Source organism: Homo sapiens, chromosome 17 (assembly GCF_000001405.40).
Source record: "Homo sapiens chromosome 17, GRCh38.p14 Primary Assembly".
Lineage (NCBI taxonomy): Eukaryota > Metazoa > Chordata > Mammalia > Primates > Hominidae > Homo > Homo sapiens.
The window spans coordinates 80,975,565-80,990,734 of NC_000017.11; the positions used below are offsets into that span (position 1 = coordinate 80,975,565).

General features: G+C 55.0%; 1 pseudogene, besides 4 other annotated features; it reads left to right on the top strand.

Moving 5' to 3' along the window:
• On the top strand, window positions 835-1,426 carry RPL12P37 (ribosomal protein L12 pseudogene 37; annotated as a pseudogene).
• Window positions 5,812-5,971: a silencer, noted in NCBI's record as "silent region_9111". NCBI's record gives its function as "represses an Ori minimal core promoter by ATAC-STARR-seq in GM12878 lymphoblastoid cells {active_cell/tissue: GM12878}" and the evidence as "EXISTENCE:reporter gene assay evidence [ECO:0000049][PMID:35858748]".
• Window positions 6,191-6,690: an enhancer, noted in NCBI's record as "H3K4me1 hESC enhancer chr17:78955555-78956054 (GRCh37/hg19 assembly coordinates)". NCBI's record gives its function as "activates a minimal SCP1, AML or CMV promoter by ChIP-STARR-seq in primed H9 embryonic stem cells {active_cell/tissue: H9 hESC(primed)}" and the evidence as "EXISTENCE:reporter gene assay evidence [ECO:0000049][PMID:30033119]".
• Window positions 6,221-6,400: a silencer, noted in NCBI's record as "fragment chr17:78955585-78955764 (GRCh37/hg19 assembly coordinates)". NCBI's record gives its function as "represses an EF-1alpha promoter that drives an FKBP-Casp9 reporter gene in an ReSE screen in phorbol 12-myristate 13-acetate-treated (for megakaryocytic differentiation) K562 erythroleukemia cells {active_cell/tissue: K562(+PMA)}" and the evidence as "EXISTENCE:reporter gene assay evidence [ECO:0000049][PMID:32094911]".
• Window positions 13,633-13,822: an enhancer, noted in NCBI's record as "active region_12952". NCBI's record gives its function as "activates an Ori minimal core promoter by ATAC-STARR-seq in GM12878 lymphoblastoid cells {active_cell/tissue: GM12878}" and the evidence as "EXISTENCE:reporter gene assay evidence [ECO:0000049][PMID:35858748]".

The following is a 15,170-nucleotide window of genomic DNA, read 5'->3' on the forward strand; positions in this document are numbered from 1 at the left end:
AAAAGTCAAACAACCCAGGCCAGGCGCAGGAGTTCACACCTGTAATTCCAACATTTTGAGAGGCCAAGGCAGGCGGATCACTTGAGGCCAGGAGTGCAAGACCAGCCTGGCCAACATGGTGAAACCCCGTCTCTACTAAAAACACAAAAATTAGCCAGGTGTGGTGGTGGACGCCTGTCATCCCAACTACTCAAGAGGCTGAGGCAGGAGAATCGCTGGAACTCAGGAGGTGGAGGCTGTAGTGAGCCAAGATTGTGCCACTGCACTCCAGCCTGGGTGATAGAGCAAGTCTCCATCTCAAAAATAATAATAATAATAATAAGCCAGGCACGGTGGCTCATGCCTGTAATCCCAGCATTTTGGGAGGCCGAGGCAGGCAGATCACAAGGTCAAGAGATTGAGACCATGATGGCCAACATGGTGAAACCTCATCTCTACTAAAAATACAAACATTAGCTGGGCATGGTGGTGCGCACCTGTAGTCCCAGCTACTCGGGAAGCTGAAGCAGGAGAATCACTTGAACCAGGGAGGTGGAGGTTACAGTGAGCCGAGATCGTGCCACTGTACTCCAGCCTGGTGACAGAGTGAGACTCTGTCTCCAAAAAAATAAAAATAAAAAATACAAATAAAAAAATTTTAAAAAGACAAGCAACCTAATTTTAAAATGGTCAGAGGATTTAAATACCTTCTCCAAAGCAGGTGAACAAATGGCCAATAAGCACATGAAAAGATGCTCATTACCAGTCATTAGGGAAATGGACATGAAAACTACAATGAGATTCCACTTCACACCTTCTAGGATGGCTTCAATTTAGAAAGAAAACCAGCTTTTGGCAACTCCCTTCAGTTGTCCCGAACCCTGGTTCATCTGACACCAGCTGCTTCACCATGCTCTGAAGTTCCACCCCAACAAGAGCAAAGTCGTACACCTGAGGTGCAGCGGGGGCAAAGTCGGTGCCACGTCTGCACTGGCCCCCGAGACCGGCCCCCTGGGTCTGTCTCCAAAAAAGGCTGGTGATGACATTGCCAAGGCAACCGGTGACTGGTGGTCTGAGGATTACAGCGAAACTGACCATTCAGAACAGACAGGCCCAGACTGAGGTGGTGCCTTCTGCCTCTGCCCTGATCATCAACGCCCTCAAGGAACTGCCAGGAGACAGAAAGAAACAGAAAAACATCAAACACAGTGGAAATATCACTTTTGATGAGATTGTCAACATTGCTCCACAGATGTGGCACTGATCTTTAGCCAGAGAACTCTCTGGAACCATTAAAAAGATCCTGGGGACTGCCCAGTCTCTGGGCTGCAATGCTGATGGCCTCCATCCTCATGACATCATAGATGACATCAACAATGGTGCCGGGGAATGCCCAGCTAGTTAAGAAGCACAAAGGAAAATATTTCAATAAAGGATCATTTGACAATTAAAAAAAAAAAAAAAGAAAACCAGAAAGTCAGAAGGGTTGGTGAAGATGTGGACAAATCGAAACCTTCCCGCATTGCTGGTGAAAATGGAAAATGGTGCAGCCACTGGGGAAAATCGTTCGGCGGTTCCTCAAGAAGTTAAGCACGGGATCAGCGTTGGACCCAGCAATTCCACTCCCAGATATATACCCAAGAGAAATGAAAACATGTCCATGCAGAAATTTGTACAGGAATATTTATAGGACATTATTCATAATGGCCAAAAGGCAGAAACAACAAAAGGTCCAACAATGAATGAATGGATAAACATGATGCAGTATATTCATACCATGGAATATTACGCAGCCTTGAAAAGGAAGCACTGAAGCTACAACGAGGATGCCTCCTGCAAACACACGGAATGAAAGAGGCCGGATTCCAGAGGCCATATTGTGCAATTCCTTTTATATGACATATCTGGAATAGGTAAAACCAGCCCAACTACAGAAAGGAGACTGATGGCACCAGGGGTGGGGGGAGAGGAGGAATGAGGGGTGCCACTTGGTATTTTTCTTTTCTTTTCTTTTTTTTCTTTTTTTGAGACGGAGTTTTGCTGTCATTGCCCAGGCTGGAGTGCAATGGCGTGATCTCAGCTCACCGCAACTAATTTTGTATTCTTAGTAGAGACGGAGTTTCTCCATGTTGGTCAGGCTGGTCTCAAACTCCCGACCTCAGGTGATCTGCCTGCCTCAGCCTCCCAGAGTGCTGGGATTACAGGCATGAGCCACCTAGCCCAGCCCTTACTGAGTATTTTTCTGGGGTGATTAAAATGTTTTGACACCAGATAGAGAAGGTGGTTGTACAACATTGTGAATACACTGAATGCCACTGAAATGTACACTTTAAAATGGTTAACGGGGCTAGGCGCAGTGGCTCACACCTGTAATCACAGCACTTTGGGAGGCCAAGGTGAGCGGATCACCTGAGGTCAGGAGTTCAAGACCAGCTTGGTCAACATGCCGTCTCAGCTAAAAATACAAAAATTAGCCAGATGTGGTGGTGCATACCTGTCATCCCAGCTACTCGGGAGGCTGAGACAAGAGAATCACTTGAACCTGGGAGGCAGAGGTTGCAGTGAGCCAAAATTGCACCACTGCACTCCAGCCTGGGCAACAGAGCAAGACTCTGTCTCAATAAATAAATAAATAATAAAATAAAATTTTATTTTATTTTGTGGTGGCACAGACTGTAGTCCTAGCTACACGGGAGGCCGAGGTGGGAGGATTGCCTGGGCCCAGGAGTTGGAGGCTGCAGTGAGCTATAGTTGCCACCGCACCCCAGCCTGCGTGACAGAATGAGACCCTGTCTCTAAAAAATAAAAATAAAATAAACTAGTTAATTGCAGGTTATATGAATTCCACTTCCATTCTTTTTCATTGACAAAAATACAAACTGACGCCAGAGAATGCGGCTCCGGTCATGCCTTTGGTCCCTCCAGGTTCAAGCGAGAGGATTTGCTGTGAGAAACAGAAGTCTCTTAAGAGTGTTAAGAGTGCAACCTGAGAGGGAGGGTGCCCACTGTTGTGGTCTGAACATCGTGTCCCTCCAAAACCCCTGTTGGCACCGAATCCCCAGTCTAGCGTATTAAGAGGTGGGGCCCTTCCGGGTAATTGGGTCATGAGGGCGCCTCCCCTGTGAGTGGGATTAAGGCCTGTGTAAGAGGCTTCACACCTCAGCTCCCTTTTGCTGTCCTGCCTCCCGCCATGGGGGGACACAGAGCTCAAGGCGCCATCGTGGAAGCAGAGAGCCGCCCTCCCCAGGCACGGGAATCCAGCACCTTGACCTTGGACTTCTCAGCCTCCAGAACTGCAAGAAAGAAATGTCCATTGTTCATAAATTACCCAGTCTCCGAATTCTGTTACAGCAGCATGAACAGACTAAGACCCAAGAACTCGCCAAGGACCGTAAGGGGCCCGGAGTCGTGAGACACAAATTCAGGCCTGGAACAGCCCAGAGAAACAGGCGGACATCAGGCAGCCCCAGGGACCCGCTGCTCTCATGGTCACGAGGCTAGCAGCCCGGCCTCCAGCTCTGTAATCCCCTCATCTCTGGGGGAAGTCACCTGGAGGGGCCCCTGTGGCCAGGACTGAGGCCTCCTGCCCACAGCCACTCAGATGAGCATGGAGGCGACTCTGGCAGCCTCCCAGGCTTGAGATGAACCCGGCCAGCAGCTGAGCTGCAGAATTCTGACTCCAGGGGCAGCCTGTGCCACACACATTCATCGTCTATCACACGCGAGAAGTGACCCAAGGACTCAGCAGCTGAAAGCAGCCGACATCATCCCACACACTCCCAGGCCAGGAGACCGGAAGCGGCTCAGCAGGAAGCCGGGCTCAGGTCTCCCGGGGGTGGCCATCCAGCTGTCAGCCAAGATGGAGGCCACCGTGCCATTAATGACCCAATCTCAAAAGTGACCTGCCATCACTCTCCTCTGCCCTTGGTCACTCAGACCAACCCAGCGCAGTGTGTGTGGGGACGCAAGGACCGTTTGAGGGCCTGTGGCAGCCTCCTGTGTCCGTAGCTGATGTGAGCTCATCCCACCTCCCCGGGCTTCTTCCTGCCCCAAGCCTGGCCTTCTCACCCCCTTCCTGGCTCTCTTCAAGCCATCCCACCCAGCATCCTTCCTGACCTTCAGACCACAGGCATAGCTCACCCAAAACACACCCTCCAGGCCTCAGTGGCCCCCCTCCTGGGCGCTCATGTCCCCTCAGGCGCGTGAGCCTCCCAGCCACCTGATTCCGGCCACCACCATCACTCCCGGGGGGCCGCTGCAGCTGCCTGCCTGGCAGTTCCAGCTCCACCCAGCACAGGCCGCTTTACTCCTCCCTGCCTCAGTTTCTCCCGTGGAATGCAGACGGTCCCCCATCCTCCTGGAAGGCTGGCTGTGTGGGAGCTGGGGCAGTAGTGTGTGTGCAGCCTGTGACCCCTGGGTCGGCCGATGTCATCTCCCAAGTGGCGCCACGTCTGCCCAGGGGCTTAGGCCAAAGGCTGACCTCGCCTTCATGCCCCTTCCCCTCAGGGCCGCTCCTGCCCATCCAGCAGCTCTCACCGGGTTGACCCGTGGCCTTCAAGCCTGTTTCCCACCGCGACCCCTTCTCCCCAGGGGGAGCAGCCAGGATGAAAACCCAAGTGAGGTCAGTCCCTCCTGGGCAAGGGCCAAGCGCTTCCGGCTGTCCGAGAACAGGGGCGGACCAGCCCCAGGGCTGCCATGCCCCACCCACCATCCAGTCCTGGCACTGCACTGTCACCCCGCTGTCCTTCTATCTGGGGTTCAGGCTCCTGAGATCAGATGCCACATCCTCAACTACCCACCCAACATCCCTCCAGCCCAGCACCACCTCCATTCCCCTGTGTCCCTTGTCATATGCAAACTCCATGACAAAGGGACTGCAGTTCTCAGAGCAGGGCCTGCCCATGGTAGGCGCTGAAGGAATGAATGAATATGAATGAGTGTATGAGTGAGTGAGTGAGTGAGCGAATGAGTGGGTGAAAAAGTTAATGAGCAAGTGTATGAATGGGTGGGTGTGTGAGTGGGTGGGTGAGTGGGTGGGTGAATGGGCGGATGAGTCAAAGAATGAGTCAGTGAATGAGTGTGTGAGTGAGTGTGTGTGTGTGAGTGTGTGTGTGAATGAGTGGGTGAATGAATGAGTGTGTGAGTGAATGAGTGGGTGAATGAGAGGATGAATGAATGAATGAGTGAAGGAGTGGGTGACTGAGTGAATGAGTGAGGGAGTGGGTGAGTGAATGAATGAATGAGGGAGGGAGGGAGTGAATGAGTGAGTCAGTGAGGGACAGAGAGACGGAGTGAGGGAGTTAAAGAGTGGGTGAATGAGTCAATGAGTGAGAGAATGAATGAGTAAATGAGTGAGCCAGTGAGGGACGGAGGGAGTGAGTTAATGAGCAGGTGAATGAATGAGTGAATGAGGAAGTGAGTGAATAAGCGGGTGAATGAATGAATGAGGGAGGAAATGAATGCGCAGGTGAATGAATGAATGAATGAGTGAAGAGGGAGGGAGGGAGCAGGTGAATAAATGGATGAGTGAATGAGTGAGGTAGTGACTTCATCAAGCCCCGCAGGTCCCGCAGCCACAGGGCCTCCCACTCCCCGTGCCCCCGCCCCCGCGCCCCCGCGGGTTTCCGGGACCCCAGTCTCTGCTGCCCTCCGCGCAGGAGCCTGCACAGGGTAGGGGCCCGCGAGGACCCCGGGGCGGCCTGCCGAGGTCTGGGGGCCTCCCTTAGGGGTCTGCGGGTCTCTCCCCCAGGGGTGTGGGGTCCTGCCTCCTCCGGGCTGAGGTCCTCCCACCGGGGTCCGGGGTCCCGCCTGCGGGGTCCGGGGTCTCTCCCACCGGGGTCCGGGGTCCCGCCTGCGGGGTCCGGGGTCTCTCCCACCGGGGTCTGGGGGCCGCCCCAGCTGCGAGGGCCGCCGGCTTCCCCTGTCCTGCAGCGCCACCGCGTGGCCGCCGCGGCCGCTGCTCCTTCCCCTGGCGCGGGGGTCGCCGCTGCCAGCCGGGGCGGGACAGGCTGCTGGGACGTCAGCCCCGAGGCCCCGCGCCACCCCTTCCTGCCCCATTTCTACCGTAGCTCTCAAGCACCCAAAAGATGTCTTCGCCCTTAACCCCCTGCAGCCCAGCGCCCCCACTCCACGGGTCTCTGAGGGTCCCCAGCAAGCAGGGTCTTCCCTCTGGGCCACCCGGCCCTCCTCTGGGAGCAGCCCACTTCTCCCCGGCGCTGCCGCAGCCCCTCCGAGGACACCTTCTCTTCCCTAGGCCGCCCATTGCCGCGCCCCAGGGAGTGTCTGCAGCCACGGGTCCCTCCAACCCCGCACTTGTGTCCAGCACCAGCACTTTCTGGGCTCTCGCCCATTCCTTGAGGATTTGCTTCTTTTGACTTGCTCCAGAATGTTCGTCGGGCTCATCATTTTCTCTGCTCCCTGAGTCACCGCTGCTTAGTCTGACCCTGAAGATCCCACCAGGAGCGTGGGAGCCCCTGCCTGGACACTCCCCCGGCCCATGGAGAAGGTGGCAGCTCTCCCACATCCGCTGGGCCCCACCGACGCGGGGCACCTGCAAGGAGGGGTGCAGCCCCCAGTTCATGATCTCAGGGTCTCCTGGCCCAAGCCAGGCGTCAGCACGCAGCCCAGGCAAGTCACCTGCAACACGGCAAAAGGCCCTTTCCCTCCCTGCATGCCTCTCGGCCCCACCTTCCCTCCCTCCCCACTAGGCATGGGCTCAGGTGTGGGTGTGACTCCTGGGCCAGGCAGCCGTGGGTCTTCACCCACCATGGCTGCAGCTGACCAGGCTGGGACTGGAAGGCGGAGAAGGAGGGCTGCCCTCTCCACCCAACGGCCCTCCAGCCCTAGGAGGAAGCTGGCTGCGTGGTCAGGGAAGAGATGAGGGACAGAGAGTGGGGAGGGCTTCCTCCACTGGTGACTGCATTGGTCAGTTCCTGCACCCAGAAGGCCTAGGGCCACCTCTGTGGAGTGGAGCCACCAGCACGACCCCCAGAGGCTGGTGGACACCTGGGTGGAGGGACCAGCTGGATGATGATGTCATGTCCACGTCATTGGTGCCTCACAAGAACCACCTTTTCTCACCGGCTGCCTCTCCATTCGTGTGTCATTTGAAGGCCACCCCAAATGTCACCTCCTCAATGGAACCTTCCCGGATCCCCACAGCCTTCCCATCCCATGTTCCAGGCCGGCTGTGGGCAGCTTGGCCCAATGCTGCCTGCTGAGGGATCCCGGGTGAGTGTCCCCAGCAGGAAGGGCCCTCGTGAGACAGGGGCGGCGGGAGAGGAGTAGAATCTGTGTCCTTGTTCCTGGGTCTGGCCCATGTGAGGTCTTGCCGTGGCGGGTGGGCCTTTTCACGCTGGTGCTGGCGGCAGCTGTGGCCATCACCAAGGGTTTCCTGCGGTCCCTGCAACCTCCCGACTCTAAACACTCGCCATGTCCCCGAGATCCAGGGATGGGACTCCCCGGCCTTCATTCCTCCAACTCTTAATGATTTTTGAAGCACTTGATCCTTTGTATTAAATACCTCCCTCCTTGAAATGCCCAGAGGGGTTCCTGCTTTCCAGGGCAAACCTCAGGTGATGACCTCATTGCTAAGTTAAGGGCGGATTGTGCCTCCCCAAAACTCACAGGTTGAAGTCCTACCCCCTAGCGCCGCAGAATGGGACCTCAGTTGGAGATGATGTCATTGCAGATGTAATTAGTTAATGTGGGTGGTGTTGGGGCAGGTTCCTCCATATAACATATTGTCCTTATAAAAAGGGAACATTTGGCCAGGCGCGGTGGCTCACGCCTGTAATCTCAGCACTTTGGGAGGCTGAGGCAGGCGGATCACAAGGTCAGGAGATCGAGACCATCCTGGCTAACATGGTGAAACCCTGTCTCTACTAACAATACAAAAAATTAGCCGGGCGTGGTGGCAGGCGCCTGTAGTCCCAGCTACTCGGGAGGCTGAGGCAGAAGAATGGCGTGAACCCGGGAGGCAGAGCTTGTAGTGAGCCGAGATCGCACCACTGCCCTCTAGCCTGGGCGACGGAGCGAGACTCCATCTCAAAAAAAAAAAAAAGGAGGAGGGGAACATTTGGACACAATCATAACACAAGAGAACACGTCGGGAAGATGAAGGCAGAGGACGGGGGGATGTTTCTACAAACCAAGGGACACCGACGCCGCCCACAGTCACCAGGGGCCGGGGGACACATGGGCCGGATTCTCCCTCGGAGCCTCAGAAGGAATCCTCCCTGCTGACTGCAAGGACCGGGGCGGGCCGGCAATTTCCGACAGCAGGGGAAGGATGACATCTTTAAAATCACACACAAGGGCCCTGCAGTCTCAGTTGAAGTCAGAGGGAGAAAATCAGAAAACAAGGAGGAACAGTGAAGAAAATCTTCTGGTAGCAAGACCACGGCATCCGAAAATGATTTCCCAAGTTTTACCCTACGGCTCGGAGGATTACAACGGAAATTAAATTCTCAGCCTCCCCAGGTAACCTGTGTGAACCTTAGAGCAGAGCGGGGGGAAGTGGGGATGGAAGGACCTGAGGGGTAACCCTGATCCCCTGCCCAGGGAGTCCCACTCAGCCTTGCTTGCCGGCAGAAGCCACCCTCCTCCCTATCTGAGGCAGCTCCCACACTGGGAGACCTCACCTGAAGCATCTGCCTGGGGCAGGAGGCTGATTCCCCTCGAGACCCAGGCCCGTCACCCCTGGTTGCCTCTAACCCCATAGCTGGAGTGAGATCCCAGCTGACTCCAGGGAGAAGAATAAAAACCTGCCACACCCCAAGATCATCAAGATTTTGCTAATTCAAGCTGGAGACTAGTGGTGAGCGTGGATCCCACTGTCAGGGCGGCTGCACACTCCAGGGACTCTGAGCTCAACTGTCTGCCTGAGTATCTGTGAGAAACTGGAGCTGTTCGCTCTATTTGTTGCTGGAAACTTGGACTTGGACGGGCGTGGTGGCTCACACCTGTAATCCCAGCATTTTGGGAGGCCAAGGCAAGTGAATCACCTGAGGTCAGGAGTTCGAGACCAGCCTGGCCAACATGGTGAAACCCCATCTCTACTAAAAATACAAAAAATTAGCCAGGCGTGGTGGCAGGCGCCTGTAATCCCAGCTACTCAGGAGGCTGAGGCCGGAGAATCGCTTGAACCCTGGAGGCAGAGGTTGCAGGGAGCCGAGATCACGCCATTGCACTCCAGCCTGGGCAACAGAATGAGACTGTCTCAAAAAGAAAGAAACCTGGACTTAACAGTGGCCCAGCTGAGATTCCAGGATTTCCTCAGTAGAGCACAGAGAGAAGAATCCAGCAGCGTAGAGAGCCAGGAATGCCAAATGGATTCGTCAGATGCAACCCATTGGCTGAGTCCCTCATCACCTCCCCAAAACATTCCTTACAAAGGCCTGCAACTTGCCCACAAGGAGGCTCTGAGCTCTGCCGCCAACAAGACTGTGTCCCCTGATCTCTCACGTGACCCTGGAGTGGCAAAGACCGAGAGTCTGAGATGGGACAGGCTCGGTGACAGAAGGAGCGGCCAGCTGGGAGCAGAGAGTGCCACAGGGGTCAGGGCCCTTGGCTAATGGGTCAAGCATCCCCAGAACTGAAAAAGATGGACAGTCTATGAAAGCTTAAATTGATCATTTTTTTAAAAACCAGGTCAGGCGCGGTGGCTCTTGCCTATAATCCCAGCGCTTTGAGAGGACAAGGACTGAGGATCACTTGAGCCCAGGAGTTCGAGACCCACCTCGGCAACATAATGAGAACCCTATCTCTACAAAAAATACACAGATTAGCCAAGCATGGTTGTGTGCACCTGTGGTCCCAGCTACTCGGGAGGCTGAGTGGGGTGGATCACCTGAGCCCAGGAGGTCAAGGCTGCAGTGAGCTGTGACGGCACCACTGCACTCTAGCCTGGGCAACAGTGAGACCCTGTCTCCAAAAAAAAAAAAAAAATACAATAACAAAAACAAACCCAGATCTAGGCCAGGCGCAGGGGCTCACGCCTGTAATCCCCGCACTTCCGGAGACCAAGGTGGGTGGATCACCTGAGGTCAGGAGTTCAAGACCAGCCTGGCCAACATGGTGAGACTCCCATCTCTACTAAAAATACAAAAAATTACCCAGGTCTGGCGGCTCATGCCTGTAATCCCAGGTACTCGGGAAGCTGAGGCATGAGAATCACTTGAACCTGGGAGGCGGAGGCTGCAGTGAGCCAAGATCACGCCACTGCACTCCAGCCTGGGTGACAGAGTGAGACTGTCTCACAAAAAAAAAAAAAAGAAAAAGAAAAAAGAAAAAAACCAGATCTGCCATGAAATACCTTAATGGAGAGTGGCGATCCCTCACCAGTTCCCCGGCCTGACCAGTCCCAGGACTGGGCCCCCAAATAAAGGGGAGAACATGCCTCTCCGTGGAAGGGCAGACACCAACACCTTCAAGTCTCCCTGCTGCCTTCTCTAAGCACCTACAACCATTGCTCTGGTCATCTTTTGCTGAGTAACAAATCACCCCAAAACTCAGTGGCTTAAAACAATAACAAACACGTATTTTGCTCACAAATCTGTGATTTAGGCAAAGTACACCAGAGAAGGCTCGTCTCTGCTCCGTGTGACATCAGCTGGGGTGGCTCAGCGGATGAGGGGACTAGAACATTTCCCTTCTAAGAAGGCTCATCCCATGGCTGGCCAGGTGGTGTCAGTGGGCGGTTCCTCCCAGGGGCTGCTTGGCTCCTCCTGACTTGGTGGCTGAGTTCCAAGAACGAGAGTCCAGGAGACACCAGGTAGACACTGTGTCTTATTTTAGTTTAGTTTAGTTTAGTTTTTTGAGATGGAGTCTCACACTGTCATCCAGGCTGGAGTGCAGTGGCATGATCTCAACTCACTGCAACCTCCGCCTCCCAGGTTCAAGCAATTCTCCTGCCTCAGCCTCCCAAGTAGCTGGGACTACAGGTGTGCACCACCACGTTAGCTAATTTTTGTATTTTTAGTAGAGACAGCGTTTCACCATGTTTGCCAGGATGGTCTCAAACTCCTGACCTTGAGTGATCTGCCCGCCTCAGCCTCCTAAAGTGCTGGGATTATAGGTGTGAGCCACCATGCCTGGCCATCTTTTTTTTTTTTTTTTTTTTTTTAAATAGAGATGGGGTCTCACTGGGTTGCCCAGGCTGGTCTTGAACTCCTGAGCTCAAATAATCCTCCCACCTCAGCCTCCCAAAGTGCTGGGATTACAGGTGTGAACCACCACACCCAGCCTTGTGTCATCTTTTGTCACCTGGTCTCAGAAGTGACATGGCACCACTGCCGCCATAATTAAAGGCTCAGCGGTGTGCCACTGTCACCCCTCAGCTCCAAATCCACCCTTCCTAGGCCTGTTTGTGCTGGTGGAGCTGGACCCTGTAAACGTTTCTCCTCTTCTGGCCAGCTCAGCCTGAGGCTTTGACGGGAGAGGGAGCTGGAGGTTGCAGCGAGGCCTGGCAGAGAATGGGGCCTCCCTGTCTGACCCCTTCCTTGCTGCAGCTGCCAGTGGCTCCGTGTGCGGGTGACTCCTCCGTGAGTCTCTGCCACCCATGGGCTGCTTCTCGCAGACACCCCCCGTCTGTCGTGCTCCCCAGCAAGATTCTCAAGCACCTGGCAGGAGTTCCTGTTAGAAAAGCTCTGGCCCAGATGCACCCCTCAGTGAGTTTCTCGGCCAACTGGCAGGCTCCCCACGGACGGCTAGGCTCTCACCCTGCAGTAACTTCCTCCACCACGGGCAGGGACAGCCTGCAGGGTCCAGCAGAGCCCAGGGCAACTTCCTCCACCGCGGGCAGGGGAAGCCTGCAGGGTCCAGCAGAGCCCAGGGCAACTTCCTCCACTGCGGGCAGGGGCAGCCTGCAGGGTCCAGCAGAGCCAGGCCCAGCCTTGAGTTGGGATGTTCTTCCAGGTTCTTGGTTTCTCCTCGTGTGCTCCCTGTCTGTCCTAGAAACACACGCTGCTTCTGGCACTGCTATTCCTGTATTCCTCAGAGTTCTCTTGTAACCTTTTAATAGTGAAACCTCCTTTTCTAGTTTATAATTCTTTATATTAAATGTTCCTGTTCAAATTACTGGTGTGGTTTCTGTCTCCTGCCTGGAACCTAATGGTACAGAGTTAGCACAAGGAGAGGTCCCAGGAGGGCATTTGGGGACTGTTTGCATCGTCCCTAGGGTGTGAATGCCTGGCTGAGTTTCCTGCCAATGGGAAACGGGGTGCTGGGCCCCACTTTGCAGTGGATTTGCTGTGGCCTCTGGTTGGGTAAAAAAAAGGGCTGGGTGAGACTGGTGCCGGGGTGCCCAAGCGGCTGCTGCCCTTCAGAGCAGAACAGCAAGGACACCCCAGGACTGTGGACTGGGGGTTCCTGCTCCACACACTGGGCGTTCACAGCAATCAGATGGCTGGCAGGAGCAGCTCCTCCCAGGCCTCGGGTCAGCTGAGAGGCAGAGAATGTTCGTGGCAGCCCTCACAGGAGCTGCTGTTTGTGGTCCCTACGGGGCTGACATTGCTGGAAATCAAACACAATGTTCAGTCCCGCGTGTCACCTGATCACAGGGTCAGCTGAGCGCACAGCCTTGCCCGTGTCCTCACTTGAGAGGCAGAATGCTGACAGGACAGCACCCCTGACCCAGAGTGGAGGCAGCGCCCGGAACCCCGTGGAGCTCACAGTCGGCTCCTGCCAGGGTGCCCCGAGGCTCCCTTGCCAGTGGGAGTGGTGGTGGCTGAGGTTGCTGGTGCTCCTGAGTTTGAAAACCCTCAAGAGCCCACCGTTAAGACCCTTGTGAGAGGTTGCCGTCCTCCCCAAGCCAGCACAGCCACCTCCTGTTGCCTACAATTAGCATCAGATCTTAGGGATCCGGGACAGCGTGACACAGAAGACAACAGCTCATGCTGGGACTTGGGAATTTTTTCTGTAAGAGAACAAACAGCACCCAGGCACGGTGGCTCACGCTTGTAATCCCAGCACTTTGGGAGGCCGAGGTGGGTGGATTACCTGAGGTCAGGAGTTTGTGATCAGCCTGGTCAACTTGGTGAAACTCCTTCTCTACCAAAAATACAAAAAAAAATTAGCTGGGCGCGGTGGCAGCTGCCTGTAGTACCAGCTACTCAGGAGGCTGAGGCAGGAGAATCGCTTGAACCTGGGAGGCAGAGGCTGCAGTGAGCTGAGATCACACCACTGCATTCCAGCCTGGGTGACAAAGTGAGACTCTGTCTCAAAAAAAAATAAAAATAAAAAATCAAACAGTAAATATCAGGCTCCGTGAGCCACATACGGCCTCTGGCCACCTTGCTCTTGCTCTTCTCCTTCTCCCTCCTCCATTCCTCCTCCTTTTCGGTGTGTGTGTGTGTGTGTGTGTGTGTGTGTGTGTGTGTGTGTTTTACAATCCTTAAGAAATGTAAAATCCACTCTTAACTCAAAGGCTGTACAAAAAAATAGATTCCAGGCCGGATGTGGCCCGCAGGCTGTAGTTTGGCAAACCCTGGCTTACATGCTACAAGAATTCAGAGATATTTCAGATAGATATCGCGGGGAACCTGGGGAGAACCTGCGGGAGTGGATTCGGGGGGGTTGGACCGGGAACACCGAATCGGAACACTAGAGGGGGCTGAAGTCCCTGATCTGGGGGCCTTGATCGCTCTGCCGGGTCTGCAGCTGCAGCCACAGCTAAGCGCTCCCTCGCGCGACGGCTGAAGCTCAGACCCAGAGGCCCGCAGGTCACGAACCCAAGACCCCAGACCCTCCATGGCCTGCTGTGGAGGAGAGAATCCGAAGGTCCACGGACAGGCAGTCCGTGAGTGTGACCTGCACGCCCACACCCAGCCACGCCCTGCAGGCTCAGAAGCACCACCTTCCCGGACGTGAGGAACACCCGGGCGAGGGGAGCCCCTGCACCCTGAAAAGTCCTGCTACTGCTCTCCTTCGTAGGCCAAGTGTGACCGCGGGGAGAGGGGTGCCCCGGCAGAGATGCGCTCCTTGATCTCCATGGGGTGACACATCCCAGAGCAGCAGCAGGACAGGGGGCAACCGCCGCCGTCAAGTCCCACGCGGGCTGTGTGTGCCAGCGGCGGCAGAAGGAACTGGCGCTCGGGATGCCGTGGCCTGCAGGGTCCTCCGGCGAATCACAGTGCCCAGGGTGAAACAAAGGGTTGGCAGACCAGAGTGCTGTTTGTCTTACACAACAGAAACAAAACTCTGGGTCTGGTGGCCAAACCTGACTTGAGTCACCACAGTGGACAGCCACGGCCTCTCACCTGTTTCCAGGCTGAGCCAATTCACAGACCTGGAGCCCTTGAGTTGGGGGCCAGGTTCCTTGAGGGAGACCCCTGAAGCATTGCTGCAAGGAATACAGCAGCAAAGCCACGGGAAGAGTCCCCCAAAGGGACCTGTACCTGTTTACCAAAGTAACTGTGTAACAGAGGGAGGGAAATACTCAAGCGTCTCAGGAATGACAAGACACTGGCATCAAATGGATTCCAATTCCTTTTCTTTTTCTTTTTCTTTTTTTGGAGACAGAGTATCACACTGTCGCCCAGGCTGGAGTACAGTGGTGTGATCTCAGCTCACTGCAACCTCCACCTCCCAAGTTCAAGCGATTCTCCTGCCTCAGCCTCCCAAGTAGCTGCGATTACAGGTGCATGCCACCATGCCCCACTAACTTTTGTAGTTTTGTAGAGACACGGTCCACTATGTGAGGCCAGGCTGATGTCGAACTCCTGACCTCAGGTGATCCACCCACCTCAGCCTCCCAAAGTGCTGGTATTACAGGCGTGAGCCACCACACCTGGCCAGATGGAGTCTGCTAGAGTCTCGGGGATTTTATAGGGACAGGATGGGGGCGTGGCAGGCCAGGGTGGTCTTTGGAAATGCAACATTTGGGCAGGAAAACAAAAATCCCTGTCCTCACCTAGGTTTGTGGGCACAGGCGGTGGGGGGATCCCTAGCCAAGGATCACGCCTTCCTCTACCCAGCTCTTCCTTCCCCCTTCATGAGGAGCAGGGAGTAGCAAGTCTTTTTTTTTTTTTTCCTCAACGTCCCCATGGACACCAAGGAAAAAAGTACTTCAGATGTCTTGGTGAGACAAATCAGAGGGTGGGAGATGAACCCCACAAAAATTCAGGGGCCCCCTCACCTCAGTGAAGGTTCTGGAGTCCAGAGGTTTGGAACAGGTGATAATTATTCTCCTT